This window comes from Homo sapiens, chromosome X, assembly GCF_000001405.40.
Source record: "Homo sapiens chromosome X, GRCh38.p14 Primary Assembly".
Taxonomy (NCBI): Eukaryota; Metazoa; Chordata; class Mammalia; order Primates; family Hominidae; genus Homo; species Homo sapiens.
Genome location: NC_000023.11, coordinates 9,996,924 through 10,020,290, shown reverse-complemented (window position 1 = coordinate 10,020,290; position 23,367 = coordinate 9,996,924). Strand labels below are relative to the sequence as shown.

Below are 23,367 nucleotides of genomic sequence, written 5' to 3'. Positions count from 1 at the left end.
CCAAAAAATGAGGATTGATGATCTAAATGGAAGCAAGAGCCGCTTCTTCCAGGGACTGACCCCTTACAGCCTTAAAAACAAGATGCTCCCCCATGTTCATACAAACACTATCTATAACCTTAAAAAAAGAAAAAGGGAGAAATCATTACCTGTTTATCAGAAAGCTCAACCAGGACAGTTTATATAGTCCAAAAATAGACTCTGTGGGATGAATATAGTAAACCTCCTATTAGTTAATACTGAATAACTAAATAAAGGTTCCAAGAAGGTAGCAATGATGTTATTTGGCTGTTAAATGGGGATCCAACCTAGCAAATTCCAGAGCTATGGATTGTTTTCCTCTTAAAGCAAAAGCATCTTCAGAAGACTTTTAAGATACCACAGAATTCCTCCATGAAGCACAGGTCAAATCCCATCTGGTGAACAAATGGGTCCCCAAAAGCTTATGCCATGACATGATCTTGCTCTTCCGCCATCCGCATGATTATTTATACTTTGATCTCAAATATGGTATCGTCCACCATACTTAAGCTGCCCAGAGCTGGCATTTCCAGTACCGTACAACTCCACCTGAGCTACAGGAAATGGAACATGAGGTTTCAAACACTCAGTCCATCTATAGGATAATACCCAAATAACCCTGCAAGACACACACGTAAACACAACTGTCAAAGACAGTGAATCTTTACAAAGGGGGCAAAAATGTTCTTCCCATATTTTCTGCCCAATGGTAAATACCTTTTCATAAGGTGGTCAAGTTATTCTGAGTTAATATATTCAGTTAAGATATTAGTGTGCCACTAATGTAAACCACACAAGACTCATGTAAGGAAACTACCAGCCATAGAAATAAGTTAACTTTGTAGTTTGTTTTTTCGTTTCTTTTTTTTTTTGGTGTGGGGTTTTGTTTCGTTTTTTGAGACAAGGTCTCACTCTGTCACCCAGGCTGGAGTGCAGTGGCATGACCACGGCTCACTGCAGCCTGGATCTCCCCAGCTCAAGCAATCCTCCCATTTCAGCCTCCTGAGTAGCTGGGACTATAGGCGCACGCTACCCCGCCCACGTAATTATTTTATTTGTTTGTAGAGACAGAGTCTCCCTATGTTGCCCAGGTTCGTCTCGAACTCCTGGACTCAAGCAATCTTGCCCCCTGGGCCTCCCAAAGTGCTGGGATTACAGGCATGAACCACCACGCCTGGCCTAACTTTGTAGTTTTTAACCAAGTTCTTGGGTATGATTCCCAGTAAACTAACTATGAAAATTATATGTACAGTATCAATCTATAGAAATAGTGAATTTAAAGTGAAGGTAGGTTTTTTCGTTTGTTTTTTGAGACAGAGTCTCTCTCTGTCACCCAGGCTGAAGTGCAGTGGCGCGATCTCGGCTCACTGCAACCTCCACCTCCAGGGTTCAAGTGATTCTGCTGCCTCAGCCTCCCAAGTAGCTAAGACTACAGGCGCACACCACTACGTCCGGCTAATTTTTGTGTTTTTAGTAGAGACAGGGTTTCACCACGTTGGCCAGGCTGGTCTTGAACTGACCTCAAGTGATCCACCCACCTCAGCCTCCCAAAGTGCTGGGATTACAGGCATGAGCAACCACGCCCAGCCAACCAAAGGTAGGCTTATAATCAAACTAAAAAATTGTTTTTAAAATATTGAGATTGTGTATACATCTGTAGCCACATCCGTAAAGACGTCTCCTTGTATCTTCTTTGTTGTAACTTTAAAAAGCAGTTACAATAATTTCACCAACAGGCTCTGAGCCGGCACTATCAAATGTTAAACACAACACTGAATGGAATTACTATAAAACTCAAGAAGAGATTTTGTTTACAATCCTTGGACCATATTTTATGCTATACAGTTTTTACTAAAGTTTATATGAAATTATGTTTAAAGTCAACAACAATTTTCACTTAACCTACTACATTCATTTATTCCACCACAATTTCATTTTCTTAAAGAGAAAAAAAAAGCTATTATGTATTTGCCTTTCTCCTGTCAGGTCTCTATGTGGAAGCTGTTTGGTGAAAGTCCTCGTATTTCTTGAATACCATTTTCCTGTGTGACTCAAAAGCAACTCAAAAAGGGTTTTAACTGTCAGATGCGCATGGAGAAAACACTGCCCTCTGACATGCAGTTCTTCCCATATAATAAAAGTTAATTACAACTTTAAAGGGTAACCCGCCACCTATAAAACTCGGCCAGGTTCTGTTTTGAAAGAGGAAGAAGAATGACTATTACAGCCTTCAGCCGACTCCACTTAAATGTTTGTGGCTTGCTGAACATTCCATACATATTTCGGGCAAGGTATTATGGGAGCTGAAGTTCAAGCTGTCCCCTGCTGAATTTTCACTCACTATAAAAACAACGTCTCATAAAAGTACACACGTTTTTACTTTACAAAAAAAAGGTAAAATATCCACTTTTGTTGACTCAATTGACAATTTTAGCATCAGAACGGAGACTTTTTAAAAACCTTTAAGTGATTGTCTGAAAAGTAACAAATCGATTTCTGGAAAAAAGGAATATAGGAAATGTGTCTGAAATACATGGAAAACAAGATTCTCCAAGCTGATTTCTGTATGGTCCATTCACGTTTGTCACAGGTTACACCATTAAAAAGAAAATCCTCACATTGATATCTTTCAGCATGAATCTCCACTCCAATATAACCACAACTGTTTTATATTACCCTTGGAAAGTGAGCCTTAGCCTTTTCTAAGCAAAACACTATTTTAATTGGTTCATTTTCCAGTTGTTTGGGTTTTTAACATACATATGGTATAAAAGGGCACTGCATTCCAAGCAGTTCTACCAATTCCAGAACCATCCAAGGGTTGATCAAACAGCTGGGGCTCTAGCCTTTGGTTAAAATTATAACATGATCTCACCTGATTTTCAAAATAACTAGGCATCTTTTTAACCCATAAAATTGTACTAGGATTGATATAGGTTTCTGAGCCCAGAGGTTTGCAATGTTCAGCGAGAATGTTAGGGAATCACGATCTTTTTGTTTTGCTTTCTTTTGTTTTCCCCTGCTTGAACTCAGAGAAATCTTCAAACAATTCAGCAGCTTCTCTCCTCAAAAGTTTATTTTCAGACGCCAGTGCCATGCAGGCCGCCTTCCCTGTGCAGGTAGGAGGAAGCAGGCACAATGTCACCACACTGGGCCTTTGCAAGTCTTCAAATCACTGGGAAGCCTGTGGTGTTTCCTTTTTGGCACTCAGGCCCTGGAAGGAGAGTTGCTCTAGAGAGGACAAGACATCAGATAACCTGTGGAAACACTTGATGTCCACAGAAATCCCAATTCCACACAAAATACATCTCTGTAAAAGCAGTTGAACAATCGAAACCCGTAGACAATCGAGCAAAAAGTTAAGGAAGAGCTTCGTTACATGGAATTAATTAAATGAAATCTGATAGTGCTTTTACAAGAATCAGTTTTTACTTGATTGGGTTTTTATACGTGAATAAGACAGCTTTGTACCCCATGCATATCTTTCACAAAAAGGAAACTTAAAATACAATTCTTGTTTTTCGTTTATTCCAAAAGCATATGGGACTAATCATATTGCATTCTGGCTGCAGTACAGAAGGCTATTTCAAACAGTTTTAACTCACGAGTTTTAAGGCGCTAAAGAGCAACTAGAGTTTGGGAACAGACTTCTCCAACTCCAAAAGGGTTGGGAATCCCTCAAGGGCCCGTCTGACATCAGGTTTTGGATGGAAACCAGCCTGAACCCGCCAGACAGGGAACCCGCACCCCAAAGCTGGGGCGCACGTTTGTGATCCAAGGTGACAGCTCATCTCGCCACCGCGGGGCTGGGGACACCTGCAGAACCAGGGCCGGGGCAGTGGGCCGCAGACGCCCGGGACCGGGATGGGCGAGGCTGCCGCAGAGAAAGGAAAAGAGGGCCATCTGTCAGCCCCAGGAGAGGAAATTCCAGGAGCCCAGTTCCCAGGCGCCGGACAGCGGGTGACGTGAGGGAACCGAATGAGAGGGTCCGCCCAGCGGCGGGGGACCTGTAGGCGGCCGGCCTCGGCGCTCAGAGGGCTCGAGGCCTGGAGAAGGGGCACCTCCATTCTTGGTCAGAGCCCTGGGAGTCGGGGTATTGGGAGGGTGGATCCTCTCCCGGACCCCCGGAACCAAAGATCTTCACCCAGCCCCGAGGGCCTCCTGGTGTCTCCGATCCTCTCCCTGGGCCCAAGGGATGGGGGCGCCTCGATCGTAGCCTGGACCGGAGCACTCCAGGGAGTCCCCTGGTTCCGGGGATGGAGGCGCTCCGAGCTCTGCCCGGGCCCGGGGGCTCTCGGCGGCGGCCCCGCGCTGGGCGGGGCGTGTCCCCAGCGCATCCGCGGTGGCGCCGGCCGGCGGCCCGGGTCGTAGCGCCCGCGCCGGGTCTGGCGCCCCCAGCCGGCCCGCTTACCGGTCGCGGGGGTCGATCCACGACGTCTGGCGCGTGTTGTGGTCAATGTAAAAGACGCGACCGTCGTAGTCTCGCGCCTCCTCCCAGCCGGCGGGCAGCGGCAGCTCGGCGCTCTCCCGGGCCCGCGGCGGCGGCGCGGAAGGAGCTGGGGGCGTGGGGACCGCGGCGGGGGGCGCCGGCGGCGCGGTTCCCGCTGGGGCTGCGCAGAAGGCGGCGGCTCCCGCGGGGCCTCGCGCGGCTGTCCCCGCCGTCGCCGCCGGCCGCCGCTCAGCCAAGGCATGACGGCGCGGGCCCCGCCGCCGCCCGGCCGCCCCGCGCGCGCCGCCTCCTCCGCCAGCACTAAGGCCCGGCGCCCGGGGCGCGGGGGCGGCCGCGGGGAGCCGCCCGCCGCTCCTGGCGCATCCTCCGCCCGGCGCCCGTGCACCGGCGTCCGCCCGCCCGCCCTAGCAAGCCGCTGCCCGCGCCGCCCACTCCGTTCAGGTAGCCCGGGTGGCCGCCGCGCGCGAAGTCACAGCCCGGGAGCCGCCGCCGCCGCCGCCGCCGCTGCCGGCCGCCCCTCCGTTCCCGCGGCGCGCCCGGCCATCTTCGTTCCTCGGCGCGGCCCGGGCGAGCAGGGGCAGGGCGTTCGCAGGCCCCGCCTCCGGCCGTCCCGCCCCGTTCTCACCCAGGCCCCGCGGCTCCTCCCACGCCGGCGGCTCCACCCACGCCGGCTGCTCCTCCCGAATCTCCCACGGAGGCTCCCGCTCCTCCCGCCGCCTCTGCTTTTCCACCCACTCCCGCTGCTCCGCCTCCCCCGGCCCCGCGTCCTCCGCGCCTCTCCGTCGCCGGCTGCTCCGCCCCCAGTCTCCCTCGGGGTCCTCCTCGGCGCTCGGCTCCTCGACCCCACCCCCACCCCTCCGCTTGCTCCTCCCCCTCCGCCGTCCTCCCTCTCCGCGCGCTCCTCGCTCTCTCCCTCCCGCTCCGCCACCTTCCTCCGGCCTCGGGAAACCGCATGGAGGCCAGGATGGGCGCCGCCGCGTCAGTCCGCCCCCGGGCCCCCGCGTAGAGGAAGGCGGGCGGGGAGGACGACGCCCTACCCGGACTGCGGGCGCGGCCTGCCTGGGGTGACTCCTCGGGCGCAAACAATTCCCGAGAGAGCGGGCAGTGCCCTCCCTTCACCCGCTCCCGGGCTCTGGCTGTCTGGAGACCCTCTGCGCACTTGGCGGGAGGCTGCGCCCTCGGTCTCCCACACAACCCGTCTGGTCCCGCGAAGGTGGGAAAAGCCCCTGAAGGCGGGGCCGAGGGAGCTGAGGAGCTGGGGGAGCCCGCGGCCGGTCCTCTCGGGCGGCGCAGGGAGGACGCCTCTGGAAGCGGGCAGCTGGGCAGGTGGCCACTTTGCGTCCCCGCCAGGACAGCCCTAGAAGGGCTAACCTGGGGGCCCACACTAGGCGGGAGTTCCTTGACCTTCCCTGAGCGCTTCATCCGGTTTGTGGGGTCTGATCGTTTGAGCGGAGACCCAAGTAGACCATTGCTGGGGAGGAAGCCGGGTCAACTCCTAAAACTTTCAGCCTAGACGGGAACTTCTGTTTCACTGGCTCCCAGCTGGGGAAGCTGAAGCTCCAGAGTTGGGGCTGTGTCTTGCTCTAAATCTCCCACCTACTTCGTGCCCCAGACCCACAGCCGCAACACGTTATGCCAGGAAATGCAGGACAGTATCAGGGAGATTTTTAAACAGTTACAGTGATACAAAAATATCTGGTAGAGCCTGATTGAAATCCAGATACACAGGGGAAGAGACTGGAGGAAAATGTCCTGAAATGCTCACAAGAGTTTGCATTCCTTTGGCGGGATTTTTAAAAATGATTTGCCTTCCAATTTTTTGTAAAATGGTAATATTACTTTTATGAGGGGAAAGGTTGTTTTAAAAAAGAAGAATGGGCCGGGCGCGGTGGCTCACGCTTGTAATCCTAGCACTTTGGGAGGCCCAGGCGGGCGGATCACGAGGTCAGGAGTTCGAGACGAGCCTGGCCAGCATGGTGAAATCCCCGTCTCTACTAAAAATACAAAAATTAGCCGGGCATGGTGGCGCACGCCTGTAATCCCAGCTACTCGGGAGGCTGAGGCAGGAGAACTGCTTGAACCTGGGAGGTTGCAGTGAGCTGAGATCGCGCCACTGCACTCCAGCCTGGACGACAGAGTGAGACTCCATCTCAACAACAACAAAAAAAAAATTAGAAGAATGTGGGGCCGGGCTCGGTGGCTCACACCTTTAATCCCAACACTTTGGGAGGCTGAGGTGGGAGGATCACTTGAGCCAGGGAGGTCGAGGCTGCAGTGAGCCGTGTTTGCACGATTGCACTCCAGGCTGGGCGATGGAACAGAGACCCTGTCTCAAAAAAAAAAAAAAAAAAAAAAAAAGAAGAAGAAGAAGAAGAAGAATGTGAAGTTGTGAAGGTATAGCGACGTCCAAAAAACTATCCAAGGAAGGTCTTTCCTCTCCCTCCTCCTACTACAACACAGAAACTTTCTTGCTCCCCAAGTATCTATCTACCCCTACCTGAATGTTCTATGTGAGAAATTCCACCGCATGAGTCCTTTTAAACATGTGTGATTATTACATGTCCAAGGGAAAGAGTGGGAGGGTCAAAAAAGCACATATTTTGTGATGTCGCATGTGCCAGGGAATGCCCCAAGTGCTGAGTGTCCCTGCTCTGACATCTTCCCTTCCGATTGGCATGATTTATCGCCAGTGGGGCTGCCACTGCCTTCTTACCTTACCACCCAACATGGCCGTTCTGAAGCTGCATTTCCACCCTCCCTGTCACCTGGTCCTTTTAGAATCTCACAAATCTGGACACAAATCTATCACTCGAAAGTACTTTGAATGGGGCTGGGGCGTATTGGAGTGAAACCGACTTCTGCAGAGAGAGAGTGGAAAGAGGAGAACACATACACCACACATCAAAGGACTCAGAAGGAAAGGCAAGATGAAAAAAGCATCAGGTAGAGCAAGGAGTGGGGGAAACTGCATCCAATTAGGAGCTCAAAGAGGCCAGCGCCGAGGAGTCTTCACTGAAGGTGAAAGATTTCTACCCGTTCAGGCGGGCAGCAAATAGTGGACCTCCCACGCGCAGACACTGTGCTGCGTGTAGGCATGCTGCAGGGAAGAGGATAGTCTGTGCTTCAGCTTGCACTCCCTTGGGGACTAAACATAGAAATAGGCCCTTGTAATACAATTGTCACTTGTCAACAAATGAAGCCAGGGTGCCAACCTCAATTTGGGGACTCGTGGGAGGCTTTGTGAGACCAAAGGGAAGGTGCCTCAGATGAGGAAACTGAGGCTCAGATGTTCAGATTCCCAAGTTCTGAGCTCTTGCCCCTTGGCACATGGAGCTGCTGTCATGAAATTGTTTACTTGTATAGCAGATGCTGGGGCGGGCTCCCTTCTTTTGGAGTATTGTGAAGATGACCCTTCATTAACACAGATGTCTGAGAGATTACACCCAGCCCCAGGAGCTGACCGTCCAGTTTCCTTGCCTTGGTGACACAAACTCGAATGCCCTTGACACCCCAGAGCTCCCCATGGGATCCCCCATGGGATCAGGCTGAGGCTGTACTTCTCTGGAAATCATAGCTTTGCCAGCTCCTCCCCTGCCCGGTCCCGCCTCCCTTACTCGTGTAAGCATGCCTCCAATCAGCCGCTCACTCGAGAACCCCCGTCTCAGGCACCCTTTCTAAAGAGCCTGACCTAAGATAGGCTCCTGCACACTTACTGTCATCTAAGCACTTAGCAAATACGAGCTCATTTAATCACCAAAACATCTAGAGGCATTCCTACTTTCATTTGCACATTAATAGAGGCAAAAGAAGTGTGACACAGCATGCCAGAGAAGAGAGATTGGAGACCCTCACTGAGAAAACTTCATCCACATGCCCAGCCACTGCCTCTGGACACTCTCTGCCTGAGAGAACAGAAGTGGGGCTATTGCATTTGTCTTCCTAAAAGGAGCTGAACCAGAGAGGAAGAGGCCAGCGCTTGGGGTGACCAAGACCTCTTTATTACACCATTAGTCCTTTTCCACTTGTGTGCAATGTTAGCCCCAGGCGTTTGCTGATGGTCCCTAAAGACTTGTGAATGGAGATGGAAAGGAAGAGAAATTGGTAGGGGTGTGAAGGGACTCTTGACTTCCCAGCTTTGCCATAAATTGGGATCGATCTCTCTCTCTCTCTCTCTCTCTCTCTGTCTCTCTCTCTCTTTGTGTGTGTGTGTGTGCGTGTGTGTGCGTGTGTGTGTGTGTGAATTGTTAGAATAAGGCCTGTCTTTCTTACAGTCAAGTGGGGCTTTCCACATCGGACTAAAAACCACACACACACACAAAACACTGCAGGGCGAAGGAGTCTTGAGTCCTAACTGAATGCACAATTCTACATTCTTTATTTCCTCCGCATTAAAACCACAGCCGGGCCAACAGCAAAAGCACGAACATTGTGTAGTGCTCCATCCTCCCACCAAGACTTCACATGGAAAAGCAGCTCAGGAAAAATCCACTTAGTCTCTGGGGAAAGGAGATGCAAATGCTTTTGTTCTCCTCCCAGACCCTCTGGGAAATCCCCTTTCTGAAGCTGTTACAATGCACTGATCTCTAACTTGCAGAATACTTTCCTTAAAATGATGGTTAAGGAGTAACTCCAACAAGGACAGAGTCTGAAGATTTTTACTATCAGATTCTGCCTTCTCTCCCCAGCCCTCGCCTAAAGGATAAGCTTTATTTGTAAAAAGGAAAGTGCAAAATTGGATCCATACACATTCAGTACTTGATAAGCGTCTAGAAAAGGAAAATCTGTAAAGGCTACAATCATCAAGTGTAAAATGAGAAAAATAAACACCGCCAGAGAAGTCTTGCCTACCTTGTATAAACAATCAAGTGTTCTAGGAAGCGACACATTGGGTAATTCTACACATTGTGCTAAGAGGAAAACGGAAATGGGCCGGATTAGGTCTGAAGAAGAAATGGTTCATTGTTTGGCATTCTTTAAATGCTAGAATAATTACTCAATTATGGGTGTTTCTCATATATTTAAATAATGCAAATCCACAAGCACTGGAGGAGATTAGATGTTGTTCTTGTTCATTCCTGTCTTGCTGGTTTAGGGGCATCAAAGGAAGGGTAAATTGCAAAGATCCCTAAGGGGACCCTCCCCAGGCTCAGGAGTTGGAATGGGGACAGGGTGAGGTTATTTCTTGGTGTTTTATTTCATGGCTTTATGTAAAGACGTAAACTTTAGACACTTATTTGACTTGTATTAAAAAAAGTCACTGTTTAGATTTCGTGTGTGGACGGGGGGCACTTTTCTCAACTGGGACTTCCTTGATTTGTGTAGATGCGTCCATTTTGAAAATTCAGGTTTTTCTCATGTCCTAATCTTCCACTCCAAAGACAGGCAGGGTATTCCCAAAGCGTCCACTGTGTGGATAAACCTGCCAGTCTGCGTTTGGTTCATTTTAGCGCTTAATTCCCGTGTCTGGATGCGCATCACAAAACAACATCATCCTTGGAATCAGTGAATGGCTGTCATGCTTTAAGCACGTTGCATTTGTGCCTGGGTGATTAAAATTCAGATTTTTTAAAAATGTAGACCAATTTCTCTCCCAAACTTAGAAAACTCAGAGCCACTCACTTCCTTCGTCTCCAGGTCTCCTCTTCCAGCCTTACACTTTTACTTATTTTCCTCCCCTTCCCATGGGTTCTGTTCCACAAAATGTGAAGGGGCCAATTCAAAATGTATTCTAAGCACACCATAATTTTAGGAAGAGGCAGCAGCCGTGAGCCAGCACACTACAAGATACTTCCTCCTGGCTGGCTTCTCTCTTATTTAGGATTAGAGCTCTGGTCCCCTGTGTATTTGGAAAAACAGATCCTTAAAACTACAGACCTCTGCTTTATGAGCCAGGCAGAGCAGCTCAGAAGTCTCAGGCTTGCAGAGACAAGAAGGAAAATTTATCTCACTCAGAAATGAGCAATCTTTGTTTTTCATTTGGTGACACTAGCATTAAAATTAGCCTCTCTTGTAACATGAATGGAACCATTTCTGGACACAGGTAACCAAGATGATTGTTATATAATCAGTGACTCAACTGGGGGGGCGGGTGATGGTGTCCCCCAGGGGACATTTGGCAATGCCTGGAGACATGTTTGCTTGGCACAACTGGGAGACTGGGGTTCCTGGCATTTAGTGGGTAAGGCCAGAGATGCTGGCACACATCCTGCAGTGCCCACAACAGCCCAGCACCAGAGAATGATCTGCCCCAAATGACACCAGTGCTGAGGTCAAAAAAACCCTATGAGATATGTATAATGTATTGTTATTATTTTTTTGAGACAGGGCCTCACTCTGTTATCCAGGCTGGAGTGCAGTGCTGCGATCACGGCTCTCTGCAGCCTCCAACTCCCAGGCTCAAGTGATTCTCCCACCTCAGTCTCCTGAGTAGCTGGGACTACGGGCATGCACCACCACACCCGGTTTATATATATATTTGTAGAAAAGGAGTCTCACTATGTTGCCCAGGCTTGTCTCAAACTCCTGGGCTCAAATGTGTAATTTATGAGAACATTTATACTGCCCAAACTTTATAGTGGGAAAACAAGGCTCAGAGAATGTAAGTAACTAGCCTGGTATGACCTGGCCAGTGCTAAAATGCATCAGCCCTAAGACTAAAGCCCAGCTATCCCATCTGACCTCCTGTATTCATCAGGGATGTATAGACAAATAGCTCCAATATATATATATCCAAACTCTCTCTCTCTCTCTCTCTCTCTCTCTCACACACACACACACACACACAGAGAGAGAGAGAGAGAGAGAGAGAGAAAGAGGCAGACAGAGAGAGATATTTATCATAAAGAATTGGCTCATGGAATTATGGAGGCTGACAAATCCCAGGATCTGCAGTTGGCAAGCTGGAGAGCTGATGATGGCACAGTTCCAGTCCAAGTCTGACAACCTGAAAACCAGGAGAGCTGATGGTGTCAGTTCCAGTCTGAAAGTGAGCAGGCTTGAGATCCAAGAGGAGCCAATGTTTCAGTTTGAGTCCAGAGGCAGGAAAAGCCCAACATTCCAGCTCAAGCAGTCACACAGCAAGAGCACCCTCCTACCCAGCCTTTGTGGTCCAGCCAGGCCTTCAACTGATTGGGCAAGGCCCACCGACACTGAGAAGGCAGTCTACAATTCAAATGTGGATGTCATCCAGAAACACCCTTACACACACACAACCAGAGTAATGTTTGACCAAATATCTGGGCACCCCGTGGCCCAGTGGCCCAGTCAAGTTGACACATGAAATTAACCATCACACCTCCTGACTTTATAACTAGTTGTTCTTTGTTTCTATGACTCTTTCTTTCTTTCTCTCTCTTTTTTTTTTCAGGTAGTGTCTCACTTTGTCACCTAGGCTGGAGTGCAGTGACGCAAACATGGCTCACTGCAGCCTCAATCTCCCGGGCTCAAGCAATCCTCCCCGCTCAGCTTCCAGAGTAGCTGAGACCACAGGCACAAGCCACCATGCTCGGCTAATATTCTAACTTTTTGTAGAAATGGGGTCTCACTATGTTGCCCAGGCTGGTCTCAAACTCCTGGACTCAAGAGATCTGCCCACCTTGGCCTCCCAATGTGCTGGGATTCCAGGCGTGAGCCACTGCACCTGGCCTGTTTCTAGGACTCTTTCTGCTCACAGTGTGGCTCGTGGACCAGCAGCGGCAGCATCACGGGGGAACTCATTGAAATGTCCACCCCAGGGCTGTTAGTTTAAGAAGCATCATATTACACCCCATGGAAGAGGATGGTGTGGGGGTGTAGGCATCTACAAAAACTTACTTTACAATATCGATTCACAGAGCCATCTGGGTAGTATTTGCCTTACTTCACCTCATAATCAAGAGGGGTTTATTTATCATTTAAGAGGTGCCAAGCCCTATGGCAATCCCTGAGCAAAGTGTAATCACAAGCCACTTTCACACTTGCTCTGCATGATAAGCACATTGAAGAGCCTGGATCTGTTTGTGACTCAGCTTTAGGCTTGCACAGTAATATACAGTTCAACTTCCCTGGCCCAGAAGTAGAAATGGAGAAGAAGCCAGCTGCAGGCCAACCACACTGTAACAGAGCTTGATTTTTGCCTTAGCTTACTATGCGTCTCCCCTGCCTGATGTCCCAACCCAGGGTCAGCTACATAGTTTGTGCTCTACGTTTTGCAGTGCAAAATGAAAACGCAGGACCCCTTGTTCCAAAAAAAAAAAAATCTCAAGAATTTCCAGATGGTAACAGTGGACCACTACAATAAGCACAAGCCCTTTGGAGCACAGTACCCTGTACAATTGCACAGGCAGCAGCCTTTGAAGCCGGCTCTGTCCATACCTTTCACTTCTAGTCAGGTGACCTTTGAAAATTCCAAAGAAACAACAATTTTCAGTGACAGCAGAGGAGATTGTTTTTGAGAATGGGACTCTGTCCCTGCAAATCAAACTACTTGCTGCCCAAGCCTTCTCTGCCAGCCCAGGTACTTCCCCGAGGTCAGCATGACCCCGTTGGCAGGAAGAACCTCCACTGCTCTTGACTCTCTTGGGTCCCTGGTGCTGGGGGTTGAATTGTGCTCCCCCACCCAAAAAAAGGATACGCTGAGGGCCTAGCCCTGGGTACATGTGGATGTGGCTTTATTTGGAAATGGGGTATTTGTAGATGCAGTTACTTAAGATGAGGTCATACTGGAGTAGGGTGGGCCTTTAATCTAATATGACTGGTGTCATATCATAAGGGAGGGCAGAAGGAACGCAGACACCAGGGTCATGTAAAAATGGAGGCAGAGATTGGAGTAATGAGGCCACAAGGCAACGAATGCCAAGGATTTCTGGCAAGCACCAGAAGCTGGGAGAGAGGCATGGAACAGATTCTACCCTGGAGCCTTCGGAGAGAGAGTGGCCCTGCCTCACACCTGCATTCCAGGCTTCTGGCCTCCAGAACTGTGAGAGAATCCATTTGTGTAGGTTTAAGCCATCAGTTTGTGGTCCTTTGTTACAGTGGCGCTAGGAAACTAACATGCCTGGAACCTTGCCCCCAGGCTCCTGCTGCTGCTTCAGTAGGGAACAGAGTCTATAGAACTCTGTTCACAGGGTCCCAATCAGTGCTGGGAAATCACAGGAAACAGAAGCCTGCCATGAAAGCCCCCAGAGATCCCACCAAACCCAGGAGCCCCAGGCATGACATGCTGGACCTCTCAAGTACATGCCGTAAACTGTAGCAGCCATATCCAGTGTAGACCAGAGGCAAACCACAAATGCCCACATTGGCCATGAGTTGCCCAAAGTTCAGATTTACCTTGGATCCCTGGCTATCCAACTTGCAGATGAGCAAAGTGGCTCTTTATAGAAGCATTCCAGATAATCCTAAAGGAGTGATGAAATTAGAGTTAGAATGAACAAATAGAACTTACAAGGGTTGACTAGATCTCAGCTTTGAGCATTACTGGCTGCTAACATCACAAAAAAGAAAGATGGCTAGACCCACTCTATGGTACTTTATTATAGACAGAACAGACTAAGACACCAGGATTTCTCACAGTAGCACGTCATGTCTCTCTTTTTTTTTTTTTTTGACAGAGTTTTTGCTCTGTTACCCGGGCTGGAATGCAATGGCGCAATCTCGGCTCACTGCAAACTCCGCCTCCTGGGTTCAAGCGATTCTCCCACCTCAGCCTCCCAAGTAGCTGGGATTATAGGCACCCGCCACCACGCCCAGCTAATTTTTGTAGTTTTAGTAGAGACGGGGTTTCACCATGTTGGCCAGGCTGGTCTCAAACTCCTGACCTCAGGTGATCTGCCCTCCTCGGCCTCCAAAAGTGCTGGGATTACAGGCATGAGCCAATAACCCCTACTGAATTTGTATTTGTGCTTACTTGTTAATATCTCTTCTCCCCTACTCGACTAGAACAGTGGTTCTCAACGAGGTGATTTTGCCCCCCAGAGACATTTGGCAATATCTGAGATATTTTTGATTGTCAAGACTATGGAGAGGGAAGAGGCGGTGCTGCTGGCATCTAGTGGGTAGAGGACACTGATTATAGGCTGCTAAACCTCATTCAAGGCACTGGACAACAAAGACTTACCAGCCTAAAACGTCAATAGCACCAAGGCTGAGAAATCCTGGGCAAGAAGCAACAGGAGGAAAAGAGCCATGTTTCATTCTCCACTGTCTATCTGCAAAGAGCAGGTAATCCAGATATATTTCTTAAATGAATAAAGGATTATCTTGTTAATCGCTAACATCACACCTTCTTGTCAATAAATGACCTCAAAATCGGTGACCACGGCTCAGACAAGGCCATTTTTTGAGGTATCCAAAATTGAATATTATTTGGAGTATTCATAAAAAGATATCTTCCTGCTGTCATCACAAAAAGAGAGACACCAGACATGCTGTGCCTTTAGGGAAGAAAACACCACCACCTACAAGAAAATCCTTCCCCAAAACCCAAATCTGATTAAAGCCTCTAGAAAGATTCCACAGATTCCAAAGGCCTTCATTAGCAAATAGAAAGGACATTTATCTATCTATCTTAGGATTCCTTTAAGCGCAAAGGTCTTTAGAGCTGGAGGGAAAAATACACATCTTAAGAACCAGATAAATACAAAATCTCAAGTGATCTATGCTGTCAGCCTACAAATGTCCAGGTGTATGTAGAAGAATCAATAACGTGTGTGACTTAAAACTAAGGGTTAGGAGCCTCGAGAGCAACTCCCGTAAATTATGTCATCAGGGACATAGCAATTATGAGTAGGGTTCAAGTACCCCATTAGGGTCATTGACAAGAATTTAGTCAGGGTGCAGCCCAAATCTTGGGTGTGTATACCGGCTCAGTCACTAGGATGGTAACGGTCAGCTGTAAGAGGGTGAATCTTTCAGCTCCAGGAGGATTTAGGGAAAGTACAGCAACTCTTAAGAGAATCAAAACTGTAGGATTCATATTCGGAATGCAGAAAGAATCTGTGCGTATTTGATGTTCCATGTATTCATAAAGTTTAAAAGAATTTCTAAGCTTTGGAAATCACTGTAAAATGTATAATTGAGTAATCTTGTGATCTTAGTTGAAAACTATTTTTTTTCTTGTCACTGACTGGAGGCTCATGAAAACTAAATTATATACAGTGTTGGAACATTCTAAGAGAACTTAAGTTTCACCATGTCAATTTAATTCATTAAATTTAAAAGAGTTATTTGTAAACTTGGGAATGTATTTGTTTATTGAGACAACTGAAGCAATTAAGAAGGGAATTGAGTGTAGTCTGTTACAAGTTTTAAATATATTTTAAAATGCATGAAGGTGTTTAAATTTGTAAATAGGGTCAAGTATTTTCCAAAGGCCTCTTAAAAGTGGTTGCTATTATTTGCTGGACTTAAAATAGAATTTAAAAAGAAAAGAGAATAATAAGATTTCTAGACTGAACTTAGAAGGTTAAAGGAAAACTAGGCATTAGAACTCGTAACTCAAATAAATTGACTGTGAAATTTGTAAACCTGAATAAATCCCTTTTTGTGCACACACAACACTCTTGAAGGCTATGATCAACACTTCCGAAAGGTCATACAATGTCCAGATGAATGTGCTCGTGTAAAAAAATTACAAACTTATCTTTGCAATCCTATGTCAATAATGGCAAACCATATTGAAATACCATATTATTTACCAGATAAATTCCACCCTAACTCAGAAAGCTTACTCACCTCTCCAGAGTCTGCTTGAAGCTGATAAGATCTGATATGATGCAAGTTGCCTTCCTGCTAAGGGGCTTGTGTTTTCGTTTTTGCACAATCTCAATCTAACTTTCTGCCCTTGTTTTACATTCTCTCCCATTTATAGATTTGTGTGTGTGTGTCTGTGTATTTGTGTGTGATTTGGTTGTCATCTCAATAAGCTATTTCATCACTAACCAACTGATTTATGCTCCTTATAAAGGATCAGTTTAACTCTGTCACTTTAGCTAGAAGTGTTGATAGAAGGTCCTAATAATGCTGTTTGCAGCCATATGTGCTTTGGAAGTTACCGAGCTCTGACCGGGTGAATTCCACTGTGGTCTGATTGTGGCCAACAACAAAATGAGTCAACCATTCTCTGTGGTCCACAGAGCAGCACCATCAGCATCCTCATTAAAAATGGGGATTCTCGGCCGGGCGCAGTGGCTCACATCTGTAATCCCAGCACTTTGGGAGGCCGAGGCAGGCGGATCACGAGGTCAAGAGATCGAGACCATCCTGGCCAACATGGTGAAACCCTGTCTCTACTAAAAATACAAAAATTAGCTGGGCATGGTGGCACGCACCTGTAGTCCCAGCTACTTAGGAGGCTGAGGCAGGAGAATCGCTTGAACCTGGGATGCAGAGGTTGCAGTGAGCCAAGATCGTGTCACTGCACTCCAGCCTGGCGGCAAAGCGAGACTCAGTCTCAAAAAAAAAAAAAAAAAAAAAATGCGGGGAGTATTCTCAGGCCACACCCTGGACCTACAAAATCAGAATCTGCTCTTTAACAAGCTCCTCAGAATCAGAACCTGCTCTTTAACAAGCTCCTCAGGTGATTCCCATGCACATTAAGTTGAAGAAGCATTGATGAAGAAGGGGAGAAATGGGTGGGGCTAATAAAAAGAAGCATCAATCTAGACAAAAGTTCAGGTAACAGTAATCACTGTTTCAGTGATGTGTTGCTTGAGTTTTATGCTCAACAGAGTGCACAGTAGCATTTATTTATTTTTATTTTATTCTATTTTTGAGATGGGGTCTTGTTCTGTCACCTAGGCTGGAGTGCAGTGGCACAAACATGGCTCACTGCAGCCTCAACCTCCTGGGATGAAGCTGTCATCTCACCTCAGCCTCCCATGTAGCTGGGATCACAGGCACGTGCCATCATGCCTGGCTAATTTTTTGTAGAGACAGGATCTCACTTTGTCATCCAAGCTGGTTTTGAACTCCTGGGCTCAAGCAGTCCTCCCACTTCGGCCTCCCACAGTTTTTGGATTACAGGTGTAAGCCACTATACTCAGCCTTATTTTATGTGTGTGCGCATGTGTGTGTGTGTGTATGTTTTTGAAACGGAGTCTCGCTCTGTCGCCCAGGCTGAAGTGCAGTGGCATGATCTTGGCTCACTACAACCTCCACCTCCCGGGTTCAAGCAATTCTCTGCCTCAGCCTCCTGAGTAGCTGGGATTACAGGCACCCACCACCACACCTGGTTAATTTTTTGGATTTTTTTTAGTAGAGACGGGGTTTCACATCTTGGCAAGGCTGGTCTTGAACTCCTGACCTCATGACCCTCCTGCCTCAGCCTCCCAAAGTGCTGGGATTATAGGCATGAGCCACCGTGCCCACCTGCCCACCTGCCTGCCTTCCTTCCTTCCTTCCTCCCTCTCTCTTTTCTTTTCACCTTTGTTTGTTTGTTTTGTTTTGTTTTGAGGTGGAGTCTCGCTCTGTCGCCCAGGCTGGAGTGCAGTGGCGCAATCTTGGCTCACTGCAAGCTCCACCTCCCAGGTTCACACCATTCTCCTACCTCAGCCTCCCGAGTAGCTGGGACTACAGGCGCCCGCCACCACGCCCGGCTTTTTTTTTTTTTTTTTTTTTTTTTTTTTTGTATTTTTTAGTAGAGACGGGGTTTCACCGTGTTAGCCAGAATGGTCTTGATCTCCTGACCTCGTGATCTGCCCGCCTCGGCCTCCCAAAGTGCTGGGATTACAGGCGTGAGCCACCGTGTCCCGCCTCTCTCTGTCTTTTTTGAGACAGCATCTCACTATTTATGGTTGCCCAGGCTGGCCATAAACTCCTGGACTCAAGTGATTCTCCCACCTCAGCCTCCTGAGTAGCTGGGACTACAGGCGCATGCCACTGTGCCCAACTCTTGATTTTTTTCTAACTAGTTATAAACATAAAAATATTGTTTTCACACTATGCTTTTTTTCACAGTATTTTTTAAATCTAACTAAATGGTGATTTTTTTTTTAAAGGTTCCAAATGTTGGCAAGGGCACCGGAAAGCAGGAATTCCAGGGAATGTGAAGTGGTGCGTTTTTGAGGGCTGGCAATGGGGCCTCACATATATATCAAACACCTTACAAATGTTCGTACTCTTTGACCATTCCTAGGCATTTATCCAAGGAAAATAACCAGAGATGTGCATAAACATTAATGGGCAAGGATATTCATCATAGCATTATTTATAGTATTGAAAAATTGGAAACAGACTCCAACTTGCAGTTCTGGCAACTGGGCAGATTGGGTAATACATCCCCTACCCTCCATATTTCTCCAAACACATAGGCATGCTGTATAAAATAGAATACCAATATCAAATACGCAGACAAGCTAGGAAGAAAAATCCCTTTCCTCAGTCAGAAGGGGGTTGTATCCCTACTTAGACACTCACTGTTAAGGGCTGAGGTTTTCATTCCAGCACGAAAGTAAAAGACATGATGTTGACCCCATAAGACAGGAAGCTAGGCGGAACTGAGACTCCTGCATAAAGCTGGGACATGGACTGACCACCTCCTTCATGAAAGGGAGGAGTAGGCAAACTTCTCATCCTCCCAGGGAAGTAGCAAGGAAGCTTTTTTTTGGAGATGGAGTCTTGCTGTGTCACCCAGGCTGGAGTGCACTGGCGCCATCTTGGCTCACTGCAACCTCCGCCTCCCCAGTTCAAGCAATTCTCCTGCCTCAGCCTCCCGAGTATCTGGGATTACAGGCACCCGTCACCACGCCCGGCTAATTTTTGTATTTTTAGTAGAGACGACGTTTCACCACATTGGCCAGGCTGGTCTCGAACTCCTGACCTCTGGTGATCCGCCCTCCTCAGCCTCCCAAAGTGCTGGGATTACAGGTGTGAGCCACCGTGCCTGGCCAAGGAAGCTTGTTTCTTGTAGATACTCCAAGGGAGGGAATGGAAAACAATCTTAGAAGAAAACAGAATCTCAAGTCCATGCATGGAGTTGTGGAGTGTGAATGCACACCATCCTTGTGGCATGGAAATTCCAGACGAGAAATTAGTGGAAAAACGGGCCCCAGTCCAGTCCCTGGAGTATCTGGCAGAAACAAACGTAATCTACTTGAGAATTAGTAGCCTGAGAAATTAAGATAATAAAACTTAAATACTAAAACTTGGTTGTAGTAACCAGTTATTTTAAATTCTTTTGGAGTTGATGAGACATGAATTCTCAGAGTAGATAAACAAAAACAAATCCACACCTGTACGTGTCATATTAAAACTTCAAAACACAAAAGTTAAGAGAAAAATTTAACAAGAAGAGAGGGAAAAGAATCACCTACAAAGGAAAATGAAGTCATTTGATAATAAGAATCGCACCAGTAACAAAAGAAGCAGGAATGCAACGAATAATATCTTCCACCAGCTGAAAGAAAACACCTGATAATTTAAAACTCTATAACCAGATAAACTAATGTTTAAGAACTTAAGAAACAGGCCGGGTGCAGTGGCTCCAGTCAAGTGTAATCCCAGGACTTTGGGAGGCTGAGGCAGGCAGATCACTTGAGGTCAGGAGTTCAAGACTAGCTAGGACAACATGGCAAAACCCCATCTCTACTAAAAGTACAAAAATTAGCCGGGCATGATGACAGGCGCCTGTAATCCCAGCTACTCAGGAGGCTGAGGCAGGAGAATCACTTGAACCCGGGAGGTTGAGGTTGCAGTGAGCCGAGATTGCACCACTGTACTCCAGCCTGGGTGACAAAGCAAGACTCTGTCTCAAAAAAAAAAAAAAAAAAAAAAAAGAACTTAATAAATAGGCAAAATCTATATTTAAAAACAACAACAACAACTTAAGGCACTACTAGAAGACTCAAAGGAAGTCTTGACCAGAGGGAAGAGCTTGAATAGGAAATCACCAAATTAATCTACTAATTTTATAAAATCCCAAATAGTATAACAATATATTTTTACCAATAGATAAGCTATCTTAAAAATGGAAAACACAGTGAAAGAGTCAGAAAACATTGCAAAAAAGAAGACTAAGTGGAAAAGGCAGGACTTGGTCTGTTTGATACTGAAAGACACTGTAAAGCTGGCATAATTGAAAAAGTGCATTACTGAAGCATTAGTAAGCAGATAGGCTAATGAAGAAGGGAACTGAAATGAGTACACAGCATAAGAAATTAGCACATGATAAAGTGGGGGTGCGAATGTGTGGGGAAAATGGCACGATTCAATCAATAACATTGACCTGGCTGGGTGTGGTGGCTCACGCCTGTAATCCCAGCACTTTGGGAGGCCGAGGCGGGCAGATCATGAGGTCAAGAGATCGAGACCATCCTGGCCAACATGGTGAAACCCCATCTCTACTAAAAATACAAAAATTAGTGGGCATGGTGGTAGGTGCCTGTAATCCCAGCTACTTGGGAGGCTGAGGCAGGACAGTTGCTTGAACCCGGGAGGCAGAGGTTACAGTGAGCCGAGATCGCGCCACTGCACTCCAGCCTGGGCGACAAAGCCAGACTCTGTCTCAAAAAAAAAAAAAAAAACAAAACAAAAACAAAAACCATTGAGCAACTCTGCTGCAGCCACCTGGAGAAAATCTGTGCTGAATTCTCTGGCAGGGACTGGTATCCATCGTCACTGGAATCCATTCTCCCCTTCTTGCAGGACACATGGATACATTTGGTGGCCCCATTTGTGGTTGGGGGTGGCTATAATGTTAAAGTTGTCCATGGAGTGTGGGTAGAAGTAAGAGGTGTGGATTCTGGCCCAGGACTTAAGACATCCTAGAGGTGTGTGTCCTTCATGCTCTCTTTCCTCTTGCCACTTGCTGCTACCCACAGATGGAGGCAGCCCACCATCAAGCTAGAGACAAGGACAACATCCTAGGGGGTGGACCGGAAACAAGAGGAAACCTGAATCCCCAAATGACTCTTTGGAACCAAGTCACCCAGTGATCTCGAGTGTCTACCTCGGTCACTTGGTGAGATTTGTAGTTTAAGTCACTGAATTATTATTATTATTGTTATTTTTTGAGATGGAGTCTCACTCTGTCACCCAGGCTGGAGTGCAGTGGTGTGATCTCGGCTCACTGCAACTTCCACCTCCCAGGTTCAAGCGATTCTCCTGCCTCCGCCTCCCGAGTAGCTGGGATTACAGGCATGTGCCACGATGCGCGGCTAATTTTTGTATTTTTAGTAGGGACAGGGTTTCACCATGTTGGCCGGGCTGGCCTCGAATCCCTGACCTCAGGTGATCCACCTGCCTCGGCCTCCTGAAGTGCCAGGATTACAGGTGTGAGCCACCACACCCGGCCAAGTCACTGAATTTTATGAATCTCCTTTCTAAAACAGACTAGCTTTTACTCTGTCTCATACAGATCCCAAACTCACATCTCAACTAAATAAACTCTAGATGGATCAAAATCTAAATGCAAGCAAACAAAGTAAGTATGGGGGATTTTGGTGTTTTTTTTTGTTTCCTTTTGTTTTGTTTTATTCGAGACAGGGTCTTGCTCTGTTGCACAGGCTGGAGTACAGTAGTGTGATCATGGTTCACTGCAGCCTCAATCTCCCAGTCTAGACCAATCCTCCTGCATCAGCCTCCATAGTAGCTGGGACTACAGATGTGCGCCACCATGCCCAGCTAATTTTCTTATCTTTTGTACAGACGGAGTGTTGCTATGTTGCCCAGTCTGGTCTCAAACTCCTGGGCTCAAGCCATCTTCCCACCTCAGCCTCCCAAAGTGCTGGGATTGCGGGCGTGAGCCACTATGCCCCGTTATGTGGGGAAATTACTATACAATTTTTAAATTAGAAACAAATTTTATGTTTATATCTTACTTGTACAACTTGATGATTTGATATATGTGTACATTGTGAAATAATTCCCACAATCAAGCTAATTAAATATCTACCCCGTCCCATAGTTATGTTTTTTTCTTTGTGGTGAGAACACTTAGGATCTACCCTGTTAGCAAATTTCAAGTACACAGTGCAATATTGTCACCTATAGTCACTGTGCAATACATGACATCTCTGGAATGTATTCATCTGGTGAAACTGAAAGTTTGCACCCCTTGACGCACGTCTCTCCATTTTGCCCTCCCCCAGTCCCTGGAAACCCCCGTTCTCTTTGGCATCATGGAAACGCTGGCCTCATAACACAGCCCAGAGCTGGCTGCCTGCCTCCACTGCAGTGTGGCTCCTGTTAGCACAGTTCACTTCACCTTCTGCGCATTCCTATGAAGTCAGACACTGCGAAAGGGCTGAGATTGTCCCCTCTTGCCAGGGAACGAGGTAGCCTGTGCTGGTTCCATGCACACATCTGACCAAAGATCGCAGGGCTCGGTTCAGAGACACAGACTGTGTGTTCTTCACAGCAGAAAGCAGTAGCTCTGCAAGCTCCTGGGTTGGTCCCCACCATCCCGATTCCCATGGGCCACGCAGAGGGCCAGGTGCTCGCCTGCAGCTGTGCAGGTTGCGCCGCAGGAGGGGAGCCCTGAATTGGGAGCTGGAGCTTTCCTTGAGGTGACTTCATGACCTGCCGTCCTCCCCTCCATAGACATGACCTGGAATGTCACTCGCTGCCCAGGGGCTGAGGGAAAAGCTCTCTTGGGCTGTAACGCTGGAAGGTAAGCCCTTATCTCCTGGGAGGGGACAGAGAAGGCTTTAGGATGTGGGAATGCCTCTGCAGAGGGAGACGATCTCTATCTTTACTAGATGCTATCTGTAGCTCCCAAGACTGGTGGCTCTCCAATCAGCACTGACCAGAGCTTCTCAGGGCCCTTTGCTCCCAGCAACCAGACTCTGTGGGAATGCTGAGACATCTAGGGAGAATGGTCACCCAACACTTTTGTTTGCCATTTCAGGCCTGGGGTGCTGAGATGTCGCCCACTGTTGCCAGCCATTCGTACTGAAACAGCCCTCGTTGGTTGCCCCCAA

General features: G+C 47.6%; 1 protein-coding gene across 1 annotated transcript in view, besides 5 other annotated features; it reads right to left on the bottom strand.

Annotated features, from left to right (window-relative positions):
* WWC3 (WWC family member 3) overlaps positions 1-5,037 on the bottom strand; it is a 129,221-nt gene extending 124,184 nt beyond the window's left edge. The window contains 2 exon segments of the mRNA NM_015691.5: positions 4,433-4,615; positions 4,618-5,037. Coding sequence (NP_056506.3) covers positions 4,433-4,615; positions 4,618-4,712 — 278 coding nt within the window. The 5' untranslated portion in view covers positions 4,713-5,037.
* Positions 5,065-5,124: a silencer, noted in NCBI's record as "silent region_20655". NCBI's record gives its function as "represses an Ori minimal core promoter by ATAC-STARR-seq in GM12878 lymphoblastoid cells {active_cell/tissue: GM12878}" and the evidence as "EXISTENCE:reporter gene assay evidence [ECO:0000049][PMID:35858748]".
* Positions 5,155-6,038: an enhancer, noted in NCBI's record as "H3K27ac-H3K4me1 hESC enhancer chrX:9982293-9983176 (GRCh37/hg19 assembly coordinates)". NCBI's record gives its function as "activates a minimal SCP1, AML or CMV promoter by ChIP-STARR-seq in naive H9 embryonic stem cells {active_cell/tissue: H9 hESC(naive)}" and the evidence as "EXISTENCE:reporter gene assay evidence [ECO:0000049][PMID:30033119]".
* Positions 5,165-5,334: a silencer, noted in NCBI's record as "silent region_20654". NCBI's record gives its function as "represses an Ori minimal core promoter by ATAC-STARR-seq in GM12878 lymphoblastoid cells {active_cell/tissue: GM12878}" and the evidence as "EXISTENCE:reporter gene assay evidence [ECO:0000049][PMID:35858748]".
* Positions 6,039-6,922: an enhancer, noted in NCBI's record as "H3K27ac-H3K4me1 hESC enhancer chrX:9981409-9982292 (GRCh37/hg19 assembly coordinates)". NCBI's record gives its function as "activates a minimal SCP1, AML or CMV promoter by ChIP-STARR-seq in primed H9 embryonic stem cells {active_cell/tissue: H9 hESC(primed)}" and the evidence as "EXISTENCE:reporter gene assay evidence [ECO:0000049][PMID:30033119]".
* Positions 22,396-22,775: an enhancer, noted in NCBI's record as "active region_29406". NCBI's record gives its function as "activates an Ori minimal core promoter by ATAC-STARR-seq in GM12878 lymphoblastoid cells {active_cell/tissue: GM12878}" and the evidence as "EXISTENCE:reporter gene assay evidence [ECO:0000049][PMID:35858748]".